Below are 22,461 nucleotides of genomic sequence, written 5' to 3' on the forward strand. Positions count from 1 at the left end.
TGTGGGTCTCAAGGTATTGGGGCAGGGAGTGGACAACAAAAATATTGCCCGCATTTTTGTCATGTAGAACGTTTTCTCCTGCCTGGTTCTTAAATTAACATATTTTCATTTCCTAGAGGAATTAAGGAATTTGCAAGAGCAAATGAAGGCCTTACAAGAGCAGCTAAAAGTAACAACAATTAAACAGACAGCAAGCCCAGCCCGTCTGCAAAAATCCCCTGGTAAGAAGACTGTCATTCTGGCAATCGTGTGCATTTATTTTATTAGAAATTATCACATCATTTCTGCATCCAACTCCTGTCCAAACAGCCCTTTGAACCTCTTTCTGAATGGGTTTTTACTCACTTATTTTACTTTTGATTAAGTAGAGAAGTCTCCCCGGCCACCTCTTAAGGAGAGGAGAGTTCAGAGAATTCAGGAGTCAACATGCTTTTCTGCGGAGCTTGATGTCCCTGCGCTACCAAGAACCAAGAGGGTGGCTCGAACACCAAAGGCTTCACCTCCAGGTGTAGTACTTGCGGTCTCAGTATCTTGGCACTATTGTATGTGTTTATGTGTGTGGGGGTGTTCATGTGTGTGTGGGTGTCTGTGTCTTTTGGTCTGTCTTATGTCCCCATTGAGAAAGAAAGTTTCTTGGGAATGGAAGCCACATGATATATTTTGTGTTCTTCGTCTACATCTCAAAGTGCCTAGAAAATCCTTAGGGCCAAGGCACGCGGCAGGAAGATTGCTTGATCCTAGGAGTTTGAGGCCAGGCTGGGTAGTATAGCAAGACCCTATCTCTACAGTAATAAAATTAGCCAGGTGTGTTGCTTGCCTGTAGTCTCAGCTACCTGAGAGGCTGAGGTGGGAGGATCATTTGAGCTCAGGAGGTTGAGGCTAGAGTGAGCTGTCATCACACCACTGCACTCCATCCTGTTCCAGAGTAAGACCCTGTCTGAGAAAAGGAAAATCCTTAGGTACAGAGTAGCTATTTACTAAGTACTTAACAGGTTGAATTTTTTTTTTTAGCTCTGTAGTCTCATAGTTTTACCTGGACTGTAGTAAGTAAAGCCACTGGTTAGGTTCTCATGCTTTAGACTTGTGAGGTTATTCCCTTAGAAAATGGTCAAGTTTTATTTGAAGCCAGGTCGTATCAAATCAAAAGGGCTGTTTTCTGGAAAAGACTTCTTTGCCACTAGTAGAGGATGGTATTCAAATACAGTCCTAGTTCAGCACACACATGTATATGCACAAAACAGCAGTGAAAAGGCTTTCTGCCCTATGTATTGCTTTTCTTTTATTGCCGGGAGACCTAAGACAAGATGGGCCTGATAAAACATGGGTTGGAGGACACAGCATTTTATTGGCTGCACGTGTTTGGAAAAGCCCCTTTGAATAGCATGGGTCTGTGCCACAGTCGTAGAGAACTACTTCCGCCTGAGTGTTCACATTAATCTGACAGCAAGTTATATATTCAGATATCCATTCAGGAGTAGCATCCATCCCCTCAGGACCTTTGGCATTACTAGGGTGTTGCATTAGGTAATGTCCAAAGTTTGGTTTTAAGGGGTGGGGAATGGGCCTGGCCTCTAGGTTCTAAAGTTCTAGGGTCACCCTGGCCCCCAGTGTGAGAGCAGTGATCCAAAGTCCCTTTGAGGGCAAACAACAATCTTATGAAAGAGAGAGTGATATTTTATTAAGGAAAATACCCAAGCATCTGACTTTCAGGAGAATTATCAAACACTTCTAAAATATGAAAAGTAACTCCATCAGGGATATTTAATGAAGCAATAGTAAATAGAATACCAGACCCCTAACTTTCCTTGGTCCCACAAATAAAATGGAATGGAATGAAATGAAACAAGAAAGAAGAAAAGGGGAGCTAGTTTTGGATTTTTTTTTTTTTTTTTTTTTTTTTTGAGACAGAGTCTCACTCTGTCACCCAGGTTGGAGTGCAGTGGGATGATCTGGGCTCACTGCAACCTCCACCTTCTGGGTTCAAGTGATTCTCCTGCCTCAGCCTCTGGAGTAGCATGCCCCACCATGCCCAGCTAATGTTGTATTTTTAGTAGAGACAGGGTTTCATCATGATGGGCCAGGCTGATCTTGAACTCTTGACCTGAAGTGATCTGCCCACTTCAGCCACCCAAAGTGCTGGGATTACAGATTCTTAAAGTAGAATTTGAACTGTACATAAATCTCCACTAATTACTCATTCTGAAGGAGGTCTTGTCCTCCCTTTGATAATCTGCGCCAGTGCTCTGTATCTTGATGAATATTCAGTAAACATCATTGCATAGAGAATCAGTATTATAGAGTGGAACTATCTAGTACAGTAGCCACTAGCCACCTGTGGATATTTAAGTTAAAATTAGATTAAATTTAGTTAGAAATGTATTTCCTTAAAAGCACAGGGTCACATTTAAGTGACTGATGGTCACATGTGTCTGGTAGCTAGCACCCTATTGGACAGCACCAATGTACAACATTATTATCATCAGAGAAAGTTCTATTGGACTGTAAGTCCAAGAAATGGTCTTGTGGGGCATGCTTTGTTCCCAAGATTTGATTATTGCATGTGTTGCTTTAAAAAAGGGACAATCCTGGCCGGGGGCGGTGGTTCATGCCTGTAATCCCAGCACTTTAGGAGGCTGAGGCAGGCGGATCACCTGAGGTCGGGAGTTCGAGACCAGCCTGACCAACATGGAGAAACCCCATCCCTACTAAAAATACAAAATTAGCCGGACGTGGTGGCGCATGCCTGTAATCCCAGCTACTTGGGAGGCTGAGGCAGGAGAATTGCTTGAACCCTGGAGGCGGAGGTTGTGGTGAGCTGAGATCGCACCACTGCACTCTGGGCAACAAGAGTGAAACTCCATCTCAAAAAAAAAAAGGAACAGTTCGGACTGTGTGCGTGTGCAATGTCTCACGCCTGTAATCCCAGCACTTTGGGAGGCCTAGGTGGGTGGATTGCTTGGGCTCAGGGGTTTGAGACCAGCCTGGGCAACATGGCAAAACCCGTCTCTACAAAAAATACAAAAATTAGCCGAGCATGGTGGCACATACCTGTGTTCCCAGCTACTCAGAAATCGCTTAAACCCAGGAGATGGAGGTTGCAGTGATCCCAGATCACGCCACCATTGCACTCCTGCCTGGGTGACACAGTGAGTCCCTATCTCAAAGGAACAAATCCGTAAAAACAAATTTCCAAATTCCGTTCGTGATTATCAGTGTGGTTGCCTTTTCATTAATTGTGTTAATTTTCTAGATCCCAAAAGCTCATCTTCAAGGATGACAAGTGCACCCTCCCAACCCCTACAGACGATTTCTCGGAACAAACCTAGTGGGATAACTAGAGGTCAAATTGTGGGGACCCCAGGAAGTTCTGGGGAAACGACTCAACCCATCTGTGTGGAAGCCTTCTCTGGTCTGCGGCTCAGGTCAGTAGCTAAACCATCTATTCATGTGCGCCACGGCATAGCTTTTTGTGCCTCTCGGAGTCCTTTAGAAGTAGTGTGTTTATACATCAGGATCCACAAAACACCAGCAGCTCTTGAACTGGACAAAACACCACTGGAAGACTAGCAGTAGCCCTAGGTTTGACTAAGTACAGTTGCATATAAAATGTTTAAGAAAGACTTTTTCTTGTGTATGTAATCAACAAAGAATCTGTATCTATAAAAAGAAATGGACAAATGATAGTATATTTAATCAGAAATTGACAGATGGAAATAGTAGATTTTTAAAATTTTTCTCCATCTCTATTGAGGTATAATTTAGACTTTTTAAATACACAGACAGTTTAACCAGGATAATATTTATGCAATTAAGCAATTACTGGATTGCTTTGGCTCTTCTGGGTCTTTTGCGGTTCTGTATAAATTTTAGGATCATTTTTTCTATTTCTATTGATTCTTGTAGTTGATGTTAAGAAAAATAGCTATGCTGTTTTTCTTTCTAATAGTCTTTTTAAGGCAAATTTATATTCTTTGCATCTGTTATAGGGATACATTTAAGATAGCCTGTTATAATAGGAATATATTCCAAGCTCAATCCAATTAAAAGCTATATTCAAATCTTGGACTTTTTTCTAACTTTATTTTAATTTTTTTAATTATCTATACTCTGTATCACTACTCCATTGCATCTCCATCATTACATCTGGATAATCCCAGGGCAGAACAGTACTCCTTACTGTGAGACTGGATTGCTTTTAGCACAGTCCATTTGAGGAACCAAGTGAAACCCTCTAAAACTCTGAAACCTTGTCAGTGTAAATATCAGCCAACAACTAAAACTGCTAAGCTCTTAAAGTATATATTATTAGCAGAGGAGAACAAGTGTTGCCAACATACAATAAAAGTGTATTATAAGGCTGGGCGTGGTAGCTCACACCTGCTATCCCAACACTTTGGGAGGCCAAGGCAGGAGGATTGCTTGAAGTCAGGAGCTCGAGACTAGCTGGGGTAACATAGTGAGACCTCATCTCTACAAAAAGTAAATTAGCTGGACACAGTGGTGTGCACCTGTAGTCCTAGCTACCTGGGGGTGCTGAGGCAGGAAGTTCGCTTGAGCCCAGGAGTTCAAGACTGCAGTGAGCTATGATCATACCACTGCACTCCAGCCTGGGCAACAGAACAAGACCTTGTTTCCACAAACAAGAAGTGTCTTGTAAAGAGTTGGTATTCTCCAAAACTGAAGAATGTATTTATATCTTAATTACATCTGAGACAGACTCTAAGAAACAGAATACAGCAGTAGAAGCTGTGGTTCTCATTGAGGGGGCTGCAGGCTTCCTTCTCAAGGTAGAGAATTGCCCCCACCTGAGATGCTACTGCCTGCCCCAGCCATGGCCCACTTGAAGCTCCCTATGGGTAATGAACCATGTTGCTGCTGGTGGGCATTTATTGCACATGTGAATCAGAATTGAGATAGAAGAGACTTAAACTACTCAGCAAAAGCTTCTGAGTGGCTTTTAAATTTAAGGGATCACAGAATTGTTTGGGTCTCTTTGTCATTGTTAAATGTGAACCTCAGGCCTTAAAAATACTCTAAAGGACATATTAATAGAAATTCCCCGACACAGGTCGAGGGTCCCTTATCCAAAATGCTTGGGACCAGAACTGTTTTGGATTTTGGATTCTGGAATATTTACATTTAATAGACTTGCTAGTTAAGCATCCCAAATCTGAAAATCCCAAATCTGAAATGCTGCAGTATTTCCTTTGAGTGTCATGTTTGTGCTCAAAAGTTTTAGATTTTGGAGCTTTTTTTTTTTTTTTTTTTTTTTAATCTATTAACTCATTGTTACAGAAAAAACCCTGGGCTGTATAGAAGAACCTTTCCCTAGCTGGGCATGGTGGCTTACACCTGTAATCCCAGCACTTAGGGAGGCTGAGGGTGGCAGATTGCTTGAGCTCAGGAGTTTGAGACCAGCCTGGGCAACAGGACAAAACCCCATCTCTACAGAAACAAAATTTAGCCCGGTGTGGTGACATGCGCCTCTAGTTCCAGCTGCTTGGTAGGCTGAGTGGGGAAGTCAAGGCTGCAGCGGGCCAAGATTGTGCCACTGCGCTCCATCCTGGACAACAGAGCAAGACCCTATCTCAAAAAAAAAAAAAAGTTTCCTCAGAACTGAGAAGGATCCAAAAGCCAAAGAATGACTCGGACTTATATGTAAGGCACCCCTGGATGGCAGCAAGATTGTTTGGGAGATCTGCTTATTTGTCTATTTTTGCTTTGGTTACCTGTGCTTTCGTGTTACTACTCAACAAATCTTAGCCAAGACCAATGTCCTAGAGAGTTTCCCCAATGTTTTCTTTTAGTAATCTCATAGCTTTGGGTCTTAGATTTAAGTCTTTAATCTTTTTTTTGAGACAGTCTTGCTCTGTTCCCTGGCTGTAGTACAGTATCGTGATCTCAGCTCACTGCAACCTCTGCCTCCCGAGTTCAAGTGATTCTCTTGCCTCTCAGCCTCCCGAGTAGCTCAGACTACAAGCACGCACCACAGTGCCTGGCTAATTTTTGTATTTTTAGTAGAAACCGCCATGCTGGCCAGGCTGGTCTCAAACTCCTGACCTCAGGTGATCCACCTGCCTCGGCCTCCCAAAGTGCTGGGATTACAGGCGTGAGCCACGGTGCCCAGCCTCTTGAATACATTTTGAGTTGATTTTTGTATATGGCGAGAGATAGGGATCTAGTTTCATTCTCCTGCATATGGATATCCAGTTTTCCCTGCACCATTTGTTGAAGAGACTGTCCTTTCCCCAATGTATGTTCTTTGCACCTTTGTTGAAAATGAGTTCATTGCAGATTTATGGATTCGTTTCTGGTTTCTCTATGCCAGTACCATGCTGTTTTGGTTACTATAGCTTTCGTATAATTTGAAGTCAGGTAATCTGATTCCTCCAGTTTTGTTCTTTTTGCTCGGGATTGCTTTGGCTATTTTGGGTCTTTTGTGATTCCATATACCTTTAGGGTTGTTTTTTCTGTTTCTGTGAAGACTGTCATTGGTACTTTGATGGAGATTGCATTGACGCTCTAGATTGCTTTGGATTGTATGGACAGTTGAACAACATTGATTCTTTAAATCCATCAACATAGGCTATTTTTCCATATTTGGTATCCTCTTTAATTTCTTGCATCAATGTCTTTTAGTTTTTATTGTAGAGATCTTTCACTTCTTTGGTTAAGTGTATTCCTAGGTGTTTTATTTGGAGCAGTTGTAAATGGGATTACTTTCTTGATTTCTTTTTCAGATTGTTCGTTGTTGGCATCTAGAAATGCTACTGATTTTTGAATATTGATTTTGTATCCTGCAACTTTATTGAATTTATTTATCAGTGCTAATAGTTTTTTGGTGGAGTCTTCAGGTTTTTCCAAATATAAGATCATTATCATCTGCAAACAGGGATAATTTGACTTTTTCTTTTCCAATTTGGATGCCCTTTATTTCTTTCTCATCTGATTGCTCTAGCTAGGACTCCCCTAAGCTGTTTGCCTACTGTGTATGTGTGATGAGGCTCTTTTCTTGGTGTGTTCCCAGATATGCTCCAGAATGGTTGGGTTCTTAGGGACATCTGCTCCTTGGCTGGACACCATGGCTGTGGCCCCCTACCTGGCCTTCAGGGTTCAGGCAGCTGACATACACCCTTAAGTAACTTGGGGTCGGGGGGAGCCTATCACACTACAATCACAGAAATCAGCCAAAGGAAAGAATTTTCCCACTGAAGTCAGTGTTTTGCTTCCTGAATATTCTTCATTGTTCAAACTTAGCTCTGGGACTTTCTGTTCCAGAAGACTCATGAAATAGTGAAGAACCATGTTTTTCTCTTAGTGTCTTTTCTCGTCTGCAAATATATAACGCTATCAAAGATGAAACAAATGTTAATAACCCTAAGAGTTTTTTGACTCAGTCATTAGGAATAAGAATATATTAATTGAAGCTACATTCAAAAGCCTTTATTGTATGTCAAAATGTTGTCTTTAAAAAAAATTCAATTAGAATAGTAGAACCTGTGAAATTCTTGCATAATCGATGAAATTTAAGTGTCTTATTTATGAATATTAATTCATGGTTTTGTAATAAAGTAAAAAAGATTGTTTGCAGAAGAATATTAAAATTTGCATAATTTAAGAGCTTAAAGGATTTGCGATCTTTCTTGTATTCTATATAAGCCCTAGATCTATATCCAAAGAAAGGCAAACCTAGCTTTAAAAATTATCTTAGAGGCCAGGCGCAGTGGTTCACACCTGTAATCCCCGCACTTTGGGAGGCCGAGGCGAGCAGATCGCTTGAGGCCAGGAGTTTGAGACCAGCCTGGCCAACATGGCAAAACCCCATCTCTACTAAAAATACAAACATTAGCACATGATGGCACATGCCTGTAGTCCCAGCTACTCAGGAGGCTGAGGCAGGAGAATCACTTGAACCTGGGAGGCGGAGGCCGCAGTGAGCCAAAATTGCGCCACTGCACTCCAGCCTGGGCAACAGAGTGAGACTCCATCTTTAAAAAAAAAAAAAAGAATTATTTATTTATTTGCTATAAAAATGGATGCCTTGGTCATACTATATAACTAAGCTTCCCAAGAACAGGTACTGTAGAGGTTTCTGACCATCACACTCCCTTACCACCTGCTAAGGTGCCAGGTAATTTCTTTATTAGAATCATAATTACTAATCGCTGGTTTCTTAACCCAGGCGGCCTCGAGTATCCTCCACAGAAATGAACAAGAAAATGACCGGCCGAAAACTGATCAGACTGTCTCAGATCAAGGAAAAGATGGCCAGAGAGAAGCTGGAAGAAATAGATTGGGTGACATTTGGGGTTATATTGAAGAAGGTTACGCCACAGAGTGTGAATAGTGTAAGCCATTGTATTGGTTTCTTAGCTGTTTTACTACAAACTGACAGTGGGAATTCGATGTCCTGAATTTGTTAACTGGAACCTGTTGGTGTTTCATTTAGAAATAAGTATAGTAAGTTCCAGAATCACCACACATCATTGAGTTGGTATCCAGCGGGTATAAGCAAAGGATGCCCTATTTAAATAAGACCTGGTGGTACAGGTTTCTTGGGCTTTCCATTGTCCAAATCATCCTTACTGCATTTCACTTGTCATTGTTTTGGGTGACACATGTGGTTGTCCCTGTGACACTGTGATCTCTCCCATGGAGGAGAGGCGCAAGTAACCAAAGAGGCTGAGCTCACCGATTCTTTGGAGGTCCCTTTAGATGTAAAGTACCAACCACAAAAGTGCTGAAATTGCTGGCCTGTGTCAGTGCCGTGTGATATATTTAATTTGATGGTTATTACCAAAGATCTAACAAGTTTCAAAATCACTTTTGACTGAGTCATAAATGGGAAAGTTATTCTGTGACCTGGCAAGTCAGATAGCCTGTCTTCTAAGCCTTGTGCCTTTAACTAGCGATGTTACCTTAGGTTGGCTGTTAATCTTTCTTTACCGGCTTCCATTTCCTTATTTATAAAATGAAGGAACTGACTTTGATTAGATTGAAAATCTCTCCTATCTCTAAAATGCTATGATTGATCATGCTCAATCATGATGTTATTCTCTAATTTAGATCTTGGCCCACCTTTGGTTTTTCGTTAGAGCTGACATGGGGTTGAATTTTAAGAGTACCTGGTCCTAAGCCATTATCCTCCACAAACTAATGCAGGAACAGAAAACCAAACGCTGCATGTTCTCACTTATAAGTGGGAGCTAAATAAATGAGATCACATGGACACAAGGAGGGGAACAACACACACTGGGGCCTGTTGGTGGAGGGCAGGGAGGGGGAGAGCATTAGGGAAAAGAGCTAATGCATGGCAGGCTTTATACCTATGTGATGGGTTAGTAGGTGCAGCAAACCATCATGACACACGTTTACCTATGTAACAAACCTGCACATCCTGCACATGTACCCCAGAACTTAAAAAAATTTTAAAAAATTAAAGATTACCCGGTCTTACACTAGCCCTGTCACTGTTGAGGTAAATGTGGACAGGTCTGGTTTTCCTTTGATCAAATTCTTAGTTACTTCATAAGTGGCTGTAATGACATAATAATAATAGACACGAGAATTTATCTGAACTCTTCCAAGACAGGCACTGCACAAATCCCTGGAAGATGGATTCCAGCTCAGCGTCCGGGCAGTAGATTCCATGCTGTAACCCATAACCATCCCCAGCCCGGGATGCCTCTGTGAGATAGTGCAAGTCAAGATTATTCACAGTATTCTGGTTTTAAAAACAACCGTAAAAGTGGAGGTTTTTCACATTATAATCGGTCAGCATTTTGAGCTGTATTTCTTCAGATACTTAATCATACTTCTGAAATGTTAAGGTTAAACTCAACCAGTTTTCTTGAAATGATGCTTTTGTAAGCTAAGCAGAGATGTAATAGCCTAGAAAGGAAACTTCTTTTTTCATATTAATAATAGACTTAGGCTAGGCTTGGTGGCTCACGTCTGTAACCCTAACGCTTTGAGAGGATGGGGTGGGAGGATCACTTGAGCCCAGGAATTCATGACCAGTCTGGGCAACATAGTGAGACCTCATCTCTATGAAAAGAAAAAAAAAATTAGCTGGGGCTGGTAGCACATGCCTGTAGTCCCAGCTGCTTGGGAGGCTGAGGATGGAGGATTCTTTGAGCCCAGGAGTTGGAGTGAGCAACGGGACATGATTGCACCACTGCACTCCAACCTGGATGACAGAGCAAGACTCTGTCTCTAAAAATAATAATCATCATATAATTAACCAATGATATGGAATAGATTTACTCATTTACCTAATATTGATTCATATCAGTAAGTTATTAAATGGTACTGTCATACCTTCCACTGTCCTTTTAATGATGTGTGTGTGTGTCTCTGTGTCATTAGAAAGGCAGTGCTATCCCACTCCCTCTGCTTAGACCCGAGATAACTAGAGACTCTGCTAACAAGTTTGCCACTGGCTTGCTTTATTTCACTTTCATCTCTAAAATGAGAAGGGTAATAGAATGCAAAAGCCTAGAGAATGGGTTAAAGTTATCACACATGCTGATGATACATATTTGAATAACAACAAAAAAACTTGGATTTTATGGATTATAGGCATATAGTTTTCCATAGTAAAACTCTTGAATCATAAATGAGGACGGCATAACCTACAGTTCAAAATTATAAAAAATAACTATTTGTTCCAGGGAAAAACCTTCAGCATATGGAAACTGAATGATCTTCGTGACCTGACACAATGTGTGTCCTTGTTCTTATTTGGAGAAGTTCACAAAGCGCTCTGGAAGACGGAGCAGGGGACTGTCGTAGGGATCCTCAATGCCAACCCCATGAAGCCCAAGGATGGTTCAGAGGAGGTAAGAGCCTGTTTCTGGGATTTGATTGATGATTGTCTTTACAAGTTAACTGAGTTTTATCAAAGATGTTTGATGCAGCACACAGTGGCTCACACCTGTAATCCTAACACTTTGGGGAGGCCAAAGCGGGAGGATCACTTGAGCCCAGGAGTTCAAGACCAGCCTGGGCAACATAGTGAGAACCCCATCTCTACAAAAAATGTAAAAACTGGCTGTGAGTGGGGGCACACAACTGTAGTTCCATCTATTCAGGAGGCTGCGGTGGGAGGTTGAGGCTGTAGTGAGCCCTGATTGTGCCACTGCACTCCAACCTAGGTAACAAAGTAAGACCCCATCTCAAAAAAAAAGACAAGAAAAGAAAAAAGTTTGTATTAGTCTACCTCCAGAAAATAAGTCATGCTTTTATGTGATTGTGTCTCCGTGAATCTGGCTTTTCATTTTTTGTTCATTCATTACCCATCAGTATTCTGAATTTCCACCTATTCTAAAGTGTTTTGTAACAACTACTTTTATTCCATCTTTTCAAATTAGTTACAAAGTTCCTGGAGTTTTTGAACTATTGTACTCAGGTTTCCTTGGATTCATACCTTCTTTTTTTTTTTGAAAGTGAGTCTTGCTCTGTTGCCCGGGCTGGAGTACAGTCATGTGTTCTTGACTCATTGCAAACTCCGTCTCCTGGGCGTAAGTGATACTTCCACTTCTGCCTCCTGAGTAGCTGGAACTACAGGTGCATGCCACCATGCTCTGCTAATTTTTGTGGTTTTTTTGTGTGTATGTGATGGAGTTTCGCTCTTGTTGCCTAGGCTGGAGTGCAATGGCGTGATCTTGACTCACTTCAACCTATACCTCCCAGGTTCAAGTGGTTCTCCTGCCTCACCCTCAGCAGCTGGGATTACAGGCATGTGCCACCATGCCTAGCTAATTTTTTTTGCATTTTTATTAGAGACGAGTTTTACCATGTTGGCCAGGCTGGTTTTGAACTCCTGACCTCAGGTGATCCACCTGCCTCAGCCTCTTAAAGTGCTGGGATTACAGCCATGAGCCACCACGCCCAGCCTATTTTTGTGTTTTTTGTAGAGACAGGGTTTCACTATGTTGCCCAGGTTTGTCTCGAACCCCTGGGCTCAAGTGATCTACCCGCCTCGGCCTCCCAAAGTACTAGGATTACAAGTGTGAGCCACCGTGCCCAGCATGATTCCTTATATAAATTTTTATGGTGGCATCAAGAAAGCAGTGTTTTATAGTTGAGGGGATTTTGCTCCGTTGACTGTGACAACCATAGCTGCAGTTTAAAATCAAAGTGAATTTTCATCTTCTCAAATACTAGAGTTTTGGCACTACCTACTGCTTCTCTAGGAAATTGCAAATCTAGACACAGTGTGAATAGCAACTGGCAGTTTCTCTACTCTGACCCAGCATGGAGCTTTACTCTGTTGTAGTCAGATTATTATTTTCAAGAGAAGTGAGAAAAATGTTATCTCATTCCTTGCTTTCACCAGAGAATGGCAACAAATCTTCCTCTATTGGTTAGGAATGTGTTTGGCTGCAAGTAACAAACAAACTTAAGTATAGTTTCTTTTCAACAATAAACAGTGGGGCTTATTTTTCTTACATATTAAAAAAATTCAGATTTAAACACTATAGTGATTTAAGAGTGACATCTCTGTGAGTCTCAGCCTTTCTCTCCTGGTCACAAGATGCCTTTGAAACTCTAGCCATCACTGTGAATTGGCATACCGTGGAAGGGTGCCAGTTTCTTGGAGAGGAATACCATGCACTGTTTACCAGTCCTGTGGGAGGGCTCTAAACACCTTGCCAATTTCTACTATTTCCAGATCTGGTAGGTTCCCAGATCTGGCTGGAAGCTTTGTACAAACCCAGCTGCCAGTGGTTCAGCATAAACCAAGCTACCAGCAGCTTTGCACAAGCCTGCCTACAGGAGTATGCATCCGGGAGACAAAGCACACACAAATTGGGCAAAGCACCTTAGGCAGCGAGACTCCACAGAAGCCTAGGATCTGGGTTGAGCCAGTCCACCAAGACTCAGTCAAGGCACTCCAGGCAGGCAGAGTCCTGTCTGCTCATGGCTCTCTTCACCCTGCAGCGGAGGGATTATGAAAGCACCCTGATCTGGGTTTTATAACCTGGAGGCTACTTGGCTTATTGAGCTCAAGTGTTGTAAGAGATCTTGTCCTAGGAGGGGTGAGGACAAAGCCCGAGCTATTCAGGACAGTCCCTCTTGGTACAGTCTGTCCAAGAAGAGAATTGCAAACAAGAAGGGAGAGAGCTGAGTTCAGCAAGGCCCTTGAGGGACTTGTCTCCCTCCAGTCATCTCCATTCAAGGCAAGAAGTGAAGAGGAAGGGGGAGCCAGCCTCCTAACTCATTTTGTCAGGAAAGCAGAAGCTTCCCTACCAACTCCTGTTTATGTCTGAGCATCTAGAACTTATCACATAACCAATGCTAGCTCTAAGGAGTGCTGGGAGAACAGGGAACAGGATCTATGACCTGAGGCTGAGAAGTCAGCCAGCCTAGAGAAAATCAGGATTCCAATCGCAAAGATGAAGGAAAGGATGGAAAATGGGAAAAGAACTGAAGGTGCCTTCTGCATCCCTGTTCCTAAAACGGTTATAGAGCCCTGGCTTCAAATTCCTTTAGACCACTAAAACCTCTCTCCTTTTTGAGACGGCCTCACTCTGTTGCCCAGGCTGGAGTGCAGTGGTGTGATCACAGCTCATTTCAGCCTGGACTTCCCAAGCTCTAGTGATCCTCCCACTTCAGCCCCCCAAGTAACTGGGACTACATGCACGCACTACCATGCCTGGCTAATTTTTGTGGTTTTTTGTAGAGACAGGGTTTTGCCACATTGCCTAGGCTAGTCTCAAACTCTTGGCCTCAAGCGATCCACCTGCCTCGGCCTCCCAGAGTGCTAGGATTATAGGTGTGAGCCACTGCGCCTGGCAATAACCTTCTTAAATCAGCACCAACCATTCTTTTTTCTATTCCTGCTAATAAAAGGCCATAATTTTGTCCGCCTTTAACTCCTGCCCCACCTTTTCTTACAGGTGTGTTTATCTATCGATCATCCTCAGAAGGTCTTAATTATGGGTGAAGCTCTTGACCTGGGAACCTGTAAAGCCAAGAAGAAGAATGGAGAGCCGTGCACGCAGACTGTGAATTTGGTTGGTTTCAGCCTTGTTAGGATGGTTTCTGCTAAAGAAAAGAACAGTTAGGAATAAACTGTTGGTGCTTTAGCTGTGATGACCAGTTTGGAACTGAGTTTCCCACTTAAAGGAAGAGTCAAAATGAGAAAATTTAATGTGTGGTTAATAACTGCCAGTTTAAAAAAGTGAGGGCAGGGGAAAGGTGAGGGGATTTAACCTCTTAGGAAAGTGATCTTTTATCTGACCAAGAAGTTTAAGACAGAATTTTTGTTTGCCTTTAATTCTTGTAATTCCACAGAGCAAACATGATGAAATACAATGAAAATTGTATTTTAGCCTATATTTTAACTCCATTATACCTTTTCTTAGGGCTTTTTAAAAAATAATAGCTTCATTTAGGTATAATTCACATACCATGCAATTCACCCTTTTAAAGTAAGCAATTCAGGCCAGGTGTGGTGGCTCACTCTTGTAATCTCAGCACTTCGGGAGGTCGAGGCGGACAGATCATCTGAGATCAGGAGTTTGAGACTAGCCTGGCCACCATGGTGAAACCCCATCTCTACTAAAAATACAAAAATTAGGCGGTCATGGTGGTGGGCGCCTGTAGTTCCAGCTACTCAGGAGGCTGAGGCCAGAGAATCACTTGAACCTGGAAGGCAGAGGTTTCAGTGAGCTGAGATCGCACTATTATACTCCAGCCTGGGCGATAGAGTGAGATTCTGTCTCCAAAAAAGAATATAAATAAATAAAGTCAACAATTCAGTAATTTCTAGTACATTCACAGAGCTGTGCAACCATCACCACTGTGTAATTTCAGAACCCTTTCATTGCCCCAGAAAGAAACCCAGTACCCACTAGCAATCACTCCCCAGTCTCCTCTCCCCCAGCCCCTGGTAAGCACTAACCTACTTTCTGTCTCTATGGATTTGCCTCTTCTAGACATTTCATATAATGGAATCACAATATGTGGCCTTTTCTGTCTGGCTTCTTTTGCTTAGCATAATTTTTCTCACAATTGATCCGTGCTGTAGCATTTATCAACACTTTATTCCTTTTTGTGGGTAAATAATATTCCATTGTATGGATATACCATACGTTGTTTATTCTTTCATCAGTTGATACACGCTTGGGTTGTTGCCACATTTAGCTATTATGAATAATGCTGCTAAAACACTCACATACAAGTTTTTATGTGGATGTATGTTTTCCACTCCCTTGGGCATATACCTGGGAGTGGGATTGCTGGGTCAACATGGTAACTGTCCAGAGTTTGGAGGAACTGCCAGACTGGTTTCCCAAGTGGCCCACCAGCAATGGATGAACTTTCCAGTTTCTCCCTGTCCTCATCAGCACCTGTTACTCTATTTCTTTTTTGTTATAGCCATTGTAGTAGGTGTGAAGAGGTACTTCTTAGAGTTCTTTGAAAGGATTAAATGACAGGTTTTGGTTTAATCTTTTTTTATTCCCTTATTCCTTCCTATTAGATTAATTGGTGGACAGGAAAGAATAAGGTGGGAGACGGTTGGAAAATGAGGTTTCAGAGTGAAGTACCCAACAGATCTCCCCGTGAGAATTAGATTCTTAAAAATCCATTGTCTGGATGGGGCGGTGGCTCACACTTGTAATCCCTGCACTTTGGGTGGCCGAAGTGGGCCGATCACTTGAGGCCAGGAGTTCAAGACCAGCCTGGCCAACATGGTAAAACCCCGTCTCCAGTAAAAATACAAAAATTAGCTGGGCGTGGTTGTGCACACCTGTAATCCCAGCTACTTGGGAGGCTGAGGCAGAAGAATCACTTGAACCTAGGAGTTGGAGGTTGCAGTGGGCCAGGATCACGCCACTGCACTCCAGCCTGGGTGACAGAGCGAGACTCTGTCTCCAAAAAAAAATCCATTGTCGCCGTAACTACTGTTCACCCAGCAGAACAATGCTGCACCATCTCTCTTTGTTTCTTTCACTGAAAGGATAGCACTTGTCCGAGGATCAACCAGAGAAACAGCTAGAAAAACCTCGCTGGGAGCTGATTTTGTTTTTAAATTATTTTTTATTGGGTCAAAATTCACAATATACAGTTAATCATTTTAAAATACATATATAATTCAGTGATATTTAGTTGTGTAACCACCAGCTCCCTGGTTTCAGAATTCCATCACCCTGTAAAAACAATGGCACCATAAAGTCATCACTCCCATCCCCACTCCCTCCGTCTCCTGGTGACGTCTAATCTGCTTTCTGTCTCTATGGATTTGCCTCTTCTATAAAAACTTCCTTTTATATTAAATAACATAGGTCCTATATTAAATAACATAGGACCTTGTGTGTCTGACTTCTTTCACCTAACTTGTTTTCAAGGTTCATCCTAAAAGCTGATTTCCTTTGTAGAAAGAGGGCAAGGGGTATTTCACCAGAACAGTGCTTTCAGGGGACTCGAAGGGAAGAACTTCTTCCCCTCAGGGACTGAGCAGCCCTTCCACATTGGGAACGGTCGTGGAGGTCAGCAGGGAGGACTCTGCATGCGTCATGTTCCGGGAAGTGGGGAGAAGGAACTGTGTCTGCTCACTGCTGTTTCCCAGCCTGTTGCCCTCATCCTGATGCCACTGCTCTGCCTTTTGCAGCGTGACTGTGAGTACTGTCAGTACCATGTCCAGGCTCAGTACAAGAAGCTCAGCGCAAAGCGTGCGGATCTGCAGTCCACCTTCTCTGGAGGACGAATTCCAAAGAAGTTTGCCCGCAGAGGCACCAGCCTCAAAGAACGGCTGTGCCAAGATGGCTTTTACTACGGAGGGGTTTCTTCTGCCTCGTATGCAGCTTCAATGTAAGACGTTCTCGGGCTTCTTTTGGGCAGAGGATTTTGCTTATCAAAGACTAAACCTACTGGTTGTACCTTCCTGTAACCGTCATAGGATACTTGTACAGGTTTTATCTTTCATAACTCACTACTTGAAACAAGTTGGTTAAAGACCGCTTTTATTCCCAGGTAGAGAGAAAAACTTTCAGGAGAGAGAGAGATTGACTTATGTTGTGTTGGACTTTAAGAGAGCCCACTCTTCCTCTTCAACTTTTTTTTTTTTTTTTGAGACGGAGTCTTACTCTATCACCCAGGCTGGAGTGCAGTGGTGCAGTCTCAGCTCACTGCAACCTCCAAGTCCTGGGTTTAGGTGATTCTTCTGCCTCAGCCTCCTGAGTAGCTGGGACTACAGGCGCGTGCCACCACGCCCAGCTAATTTTTGCATTTTTGGTACAGACAGGGTTTCACCATGATGGCCAGGCTGGTCTCGAAATCCTGACCTCAGGTGATCTGCCTGCCTCGGCCTCCCAAAGTGCTGGGATTACAGGCATGAGCCACTGCTCCCAGCCCCTCTTTGACTTCTAATGTGAATAGTGCACCTTCATCAGGGCCATTAAAAATGTGTTAATTACAGTGTTAACACCCTTTTAATTATTTCTCGTATGACTATATGAGTGAGGCTACAGACCTCATGGAACCCAAATTTCATTCAGTGAGTGAATATACTATGAAGCTTCACATGGGGAGTGGGGCGATGCTGGGCAGGCATCCATGGCCCCTTGCCTGGGGGTTCAGAGTCACTACAGCCCCTGACGCTGTAATCCAGGGGTGTCCAATCTTTTGGCTTCCCTGGGCCCCTTTGGAAGAATTGTCTTGGACTACACATAAAATATATTAATGATAGCCTATAAGCTTAAAAAAAGAAAGAAAAGAAAAGAAAAATCTCTTAATGTTTTAAGAAAGTTTATGAATTTGTGTTGGGCCGCATTCAAAGCCATCCTGGGCTGCATGTGGCCCGCAGGCTATGGTTTGGATAAGCTTGTAATCAGTGGCCTCGTCACTACATTATATAAAGCATATCTGAGGACTTGGCACGAGGCAGCTACAGTTGGTCCAAGAATAAAACATAGATTTTTGTTCCCAATCCAGCAGGAATGGGGCAAGAGGACTCATTTCCTGTTTCTTTTTTAACAGTAAGCATGTTTTTGAGATTTAAAATTATTTCTGAATTTTTCCAATCTGCTAAAACAATACATGTATATTAGTCTTTTAAAAGAACATACAATCCAACCAATGGAGAAAATAAAAACCAACTATAATCCTATCACCTGAAAAACTGTTAGTTCTAGGCCAGGCACAGTGGCTTACACCTGTAATCCCAGCACTTCGGGAGGCCAAGGCAGGAGGATTGCTTAAGCCCAGGAATTTGAGACCCGCCTGAGCGACATGGCAAAACCCCATCTCTACAAAATGCAAAAAAAATTAGCTGGGCATGGTGGCACATGCCTGTAGTCCCAGCTGTTTGGGAGGCTGAGATGGGAGAATTGCTTGAGCCTGGGGAAGTTGAGGCTGCAGTGAGTCAGGATTGCTCCACTGTACTCCAGGCTGGACAACAGAGTGAGATCTTGTCTCAAAAAAAAAACCCCAAACTGTTAGTTCCTTGGTATATATACTCCTAGGTGTTGTGTTTCTTCATATGTGTACATTTTTAGTAATATAAAATGAGATCATATTGTTCCTATTCTTTGTATCCACTTTTTTTCCAGTGTAAAATAATTAATGTTTTTCTCATGTATTTTCAGTGGCTACATAGTGTTCTTTTGCATACTCTGCCTTAATTCATTTAAACAATTCCCTGTGGGTGAACGTTAATGGTGTTTCCAATGTATGACATTATAAACAAAGCTGCCATTAATATCCTAAATTTTTGCATAATCCTTAATTATTTTAAGATAAATATCCAGACTGCTGGATCAAAGCATTGGCTTTTTTTTTATTTCTTTTGCCAAATTTCCTTCCAGAATGGCCTCAAGTGGATTTGTAGGCTGCCTCTAGCTTTTCCTCTGTGACACAGTGCATAAACCAGTTATGCTATTGGGCCGTAACATTAAGAAAGCCTACTTAGATGGTGTTTTGAGAAACTTTGACGGTGTGTGTAATAAATGATGATATCTATGCCTTCTTTACCTCATCAGAGCATTGAGGCTTTAGTGATTCTCCTTTTGGGGGTGACTTGTCATTTCAGTGCAGCAGCTGTGGCTCCTAAGAAGAAGATTCAAACCACTCTGAGTAATCTGGTTGTTAAGGGCACAAACTTGATCATCCAGGAAACACGGCAAAAACTCGGTAACTTTGTTTTTCCATAAGAAATTTCTTTCTCCAGTTTAATTATGCAGCCTTAGGGATAAAAGACTACACATTGGGTACAGGGTACACTGCTCCGGTGATGGGTACACCAAAATCTCAGAAATCACCACTAAGAACTTATTCATGCACAAAAATAAATAAATAAGCAAGCAAGCAAGCAAGCAAGCAAGCAGTCTTTAGGGTTGAAAATGGATACAGCTCATACTCTTAAGTAATAAGAATCCAGTCATCACCTGTACTTAGTGAGTGGCGCGGTCTAACCTAAAGGAATCAAGCCAGGTTTGCAGGACCTTAAGGAAAAAAACAGCATATTGATTTTAGCTATGTCTTACCTTAGTATGCTTTTTAAAATTTCTTGGTGTATCTGGGTCCAACTCTTTACATCCAGCATTAGAATCAGCAGTATTATCTTCCTGGCCAAGCTTATTGGTTATCTTTTGTTAAAATGGGTCTTGGTCATAAAAACAAAAAAATTTTTAATAAAATAAAAACAAATAAAAACAAGTCTTGATCAGAGAATGCAGCCCCCATCCTGGGCTTGTGGTCAGGGACCCTTATCCTTAGCGGATATTCCAGAAACAGGGTATGGAATGACCCCCAGATTTAAGGGCTTAATATTCTAATCATTACTAGAAATAAAATATAGTCGAGATACCCTGCCATCCTATGAGTCTGATGATAGAGGTTAAGGATTCTTTTCTTTCCTCTTGGGATTCCGTCTTCTTCGTTTACGTATGACTAAAATTACAAGTGCAGAGTTTAGAAAGTGGTATGTCATATGACCTCAAACCATCTGAATGTGAATCCTCTAAAGCTGGTGTTGACCTGGCACAGGAATACCCCAGAAGAGCCTGTCTTGCTCTGAGGAGTTCAAGGAACTGATGGACCTGCCGACGTGTGGAGCCAGGAACTTAAAACAACATTTAGCCAAAGCCACAGCTTCAGGTACCATCAGCTGCATGGCCACACGTGTGTCCCTGTGTTCCCTCAGCCTCCCAGGGCACCCCCTCAGTCTGGGCTTCTGTTTCAGGGATTATGGGGAGCCCAAAACCAGCCATCAAGTCCATCTCGGCCTCAGCACTCTTGAAGCAACAGAAGCAGCGGATGTTGGAGATGAGGAGAAGGAAATCAGAAGAAATACAGAAGCGGTAAGAGGAGCAGATTTAATATTCCCCGCTTGGGTCATCCATCTCAGGCGTCCTCAGAACGTCTTCATCGATTTCCAGAATGTGACTTCAGGTTTCGGTTGGCTGCGTTTTAACTCTGAAAGTTTAAAATAGTTTTCCCATAACCTGAATAGCATTTAAGGCTGTATTATTTCTTACACTGGTGACTCCCAACACCAAATGGTACAGGTTAGAGTCGTTATCACCATGGAAAAGGGAAAGGAGTGAAGTGTATGTAAAGAGGGTTTTTGTGAAGGGGGAGAGCGTAGGTTCACATGCTGGCTGTCATTTTCTCTCTCTCTCTCTTTTTTTTTTCTGAGACGGGTTTTCACTCTGTCACCCCAGCTGAAGTGCAATGCTGCAGTGTCGGCTCACTGCAACCTCCATGTCCCAGGCTCAAATGATCCTCCTGCCTTGGCCTCCCAAGTAGTTGGGACTACAGGCATGTGCCACTATGCTTGGCTAATTTTTGTATTTTTTTATAGAGACTGGGTTTTGCCATATTGCCCAAGCTGGTCTCAAATTCCTGGACGCAAGCCTGGATTTGCCTGGCTGCCATTTCTGGGTTTTGCCGCAATTCAGTTTTTTATGACAGGCAGAGCCAGTGAGTAGAATACAGTTCTTTGGATAAAGGACAAAACTGAAGCACTAAAAATGGAGAGTCATTTTAGAGGCAAAAGCAAGTGGAAATGTGTTACTTGGCTTCAGCCAATAATTAAAAAAAAAAAAAATCAAGTGGAAATGCATAGGGTAGGTGGACAAATGAATGATTCCTGAACTCAGGTCACCTGAATACTAATGAGAGCTGCGGTTCACAGGCACTTCATACGTACTCCATAAACACAGTATCTGAGCCTCCGGAGGCTTCTCAGCCTTGTTTTACTAATAGTGTGCCTGGAGATCAGAGAGCTAGTTTATGGTGGGGCCGAGTTTTGGGCTCACACATGTTGTGCTCTGGTGCTGAACCTTTTGCCATCCCGAATCTGGGCTGCTGAAAGGCAACCACATCCATGAAAGGGAGTCAATGATAAGACAAGAGGAAATTCTTTGGGAAAGTAAGAGAATGGGTTTGGTCTCAGGCAGATTAGTTTGAAGTGCCGGTGGGATATCTATAGAGCTATTCATCTTGAGCCTACAGATGACATAAATTATATACGTGGACACAGAAATATGTATGGAGTTGGGGGCCTCGTGGGAAATAGAGAATGCCCATCAGCTTGAAGGCATTGCGTAATGAAAATTTTCAGAATTTTGTTGGCCAAGGAAACCTTATCTTTGCGTAGGATTTGATAGGCAGTTTGCAAACACAGCCTAGAGCTTGCAAGAGTGGCTGTGCGGTTGGGAAGAGTACTGCTCTGGGATGGCCTGGCTCTAATCCTGAGTCTGGCCCTTGTGAGTAATGTGATCCTAGGCCTCAGTTTCTTCATCGATCAAATGAGAAGTTTGGACTAGATGATTTCTGGGGTTTGTTATTTGTTTTTAAATATCTCTTATGAGGCTGGCTTGGTGGCTTATGTCTGTAATCCTAGCACTTTGGGAGGCCGAGGCAGGCAGATCGCCTGAGCCCAGGAGTTTGAGACCAACCTGAGCAAAATGGCGAAATCCTGTCTCTACAAACAGTACAAAGATTAGCTGGGCATGGTGGTGCACACTGTGGACCCAGCTACTCGGGAGGCTGAGGTGGGAGGATCACCTGAGCCTGGGAGGCAGAGGTGGCAGCGAGCCGCAATCGTGCCAACGCACTCTAGTCTGGGTGACAAAGCAAGACCCTGTCTCCAAAAACAAAAGTAAAATAGCTCTTAAAACTATTTTTTGCCAGGCATGATAGCTCACGCCTATAATCCCAACACTTGGGAGGCTGAGGCACGAGAATCACTTGAACCTGGGAGGCAGAGGTTGCAGTGAGCCAAGATCATGCCACTGCACTCCAGCCTGGGTGACACAGCGAGACTCTGTCTCAAAAAAATCAAAAAAAAGAAAGGGGATGTAAAATAATCGCTGCAAGTTACAGTGTTTTTCATTAATGACTTCCAAATGTCTCACATGTATTGTCTCTTCCCAGTAGCATAAACAAAGATGCAGGGAGGTGCAATGAGTTCCTACAGGCCCTAGAGCTGACGGTAGGGGTGGGAAT

At 42.7% G+C, this 22,461-nt stretch overlaps 1 protein-coding gene across 4 annotated transcripts in view, besides 1 other annotated feature; it reads left to right on the forward strand.

Annotated features, from left to right (window-relative positions):
* The window catches only part of MCM10 (minichromosome maintenance 10 replication initiation factor), a 49,553-nt gene that overhangs the window by 10,702 nt on the left and 16,390 nt on the right, over window positions 1-22,461 (forward strand). For 2 of the 4 annotated variants that reach the window (XM_011519538.3, NM_182751.3), the window contains exons 4-13: window positions 117-221; window positions 366-506; window positions 3,251-3,422; window positions 8,183-8,348; window positions 10,674-10,841; window positions 13,905-14,021; window positions 16,622-16,821; window positions 19,040-19,140; window positions 19,996-20,106; window positions 20,192-20,309. In XM_011519538.3, the coding sequence (XP_011517840.1) occupies window positions 117-221; window positions 366-506; window positions 3,251-3,422; window positions 8,183-8,348; window positions 10,674-10,841; window positions 13,905-14,021; window positions 16,622-16,821; window positions 19,040-19,140; window positions 19,996-20,106; window positions 20,192-20,309 (1,399 nt within the window). The remainder of the gene's footprint in view (window positions 1-116; window positions 222-365; window positions 507-3,250; window positions 3,423-8,182; window positions 8,349-10,673; window positions 10,842-13,904; window positions 14,022-16,621; window positions 16,822-19,039; window positions 19,141-19,995; window positions 20,107-20,191; window positions 20,310-22,461) is intronic. The other 2 variants (XM_047425437.1, NM_018518.5) reach the window with 1 other exon arrangement.
* Window positions 1,430-1,724: an enhancer, noted in NCBI's record as "tiled region #2216; HepG2 Activating DNase matched - State 5:Enh". NCBI's record gives its function as "activates a minimal TATA promoter and a strong SV40 promoter by Sharpr-MPRA in HepG2 cells {active_cell/tissue: HepG2}" and the evidence as "EXISTENCE:reporter gene assay evidence [ECO:0000049][PMID:27701403]".

This window comes from Homo sapiens, chromosome 10 (genome assembly GCF_000001405.40).
Source record: "Homo sapiens chromosome 10, GRCh38.p14 Primary Assembly".
Taxonomy (NCBI): Eukaryota; Metazoa; Chordata; class Mammalia; order Primates; family Hominidae; genus Homo; species Homo sapiens.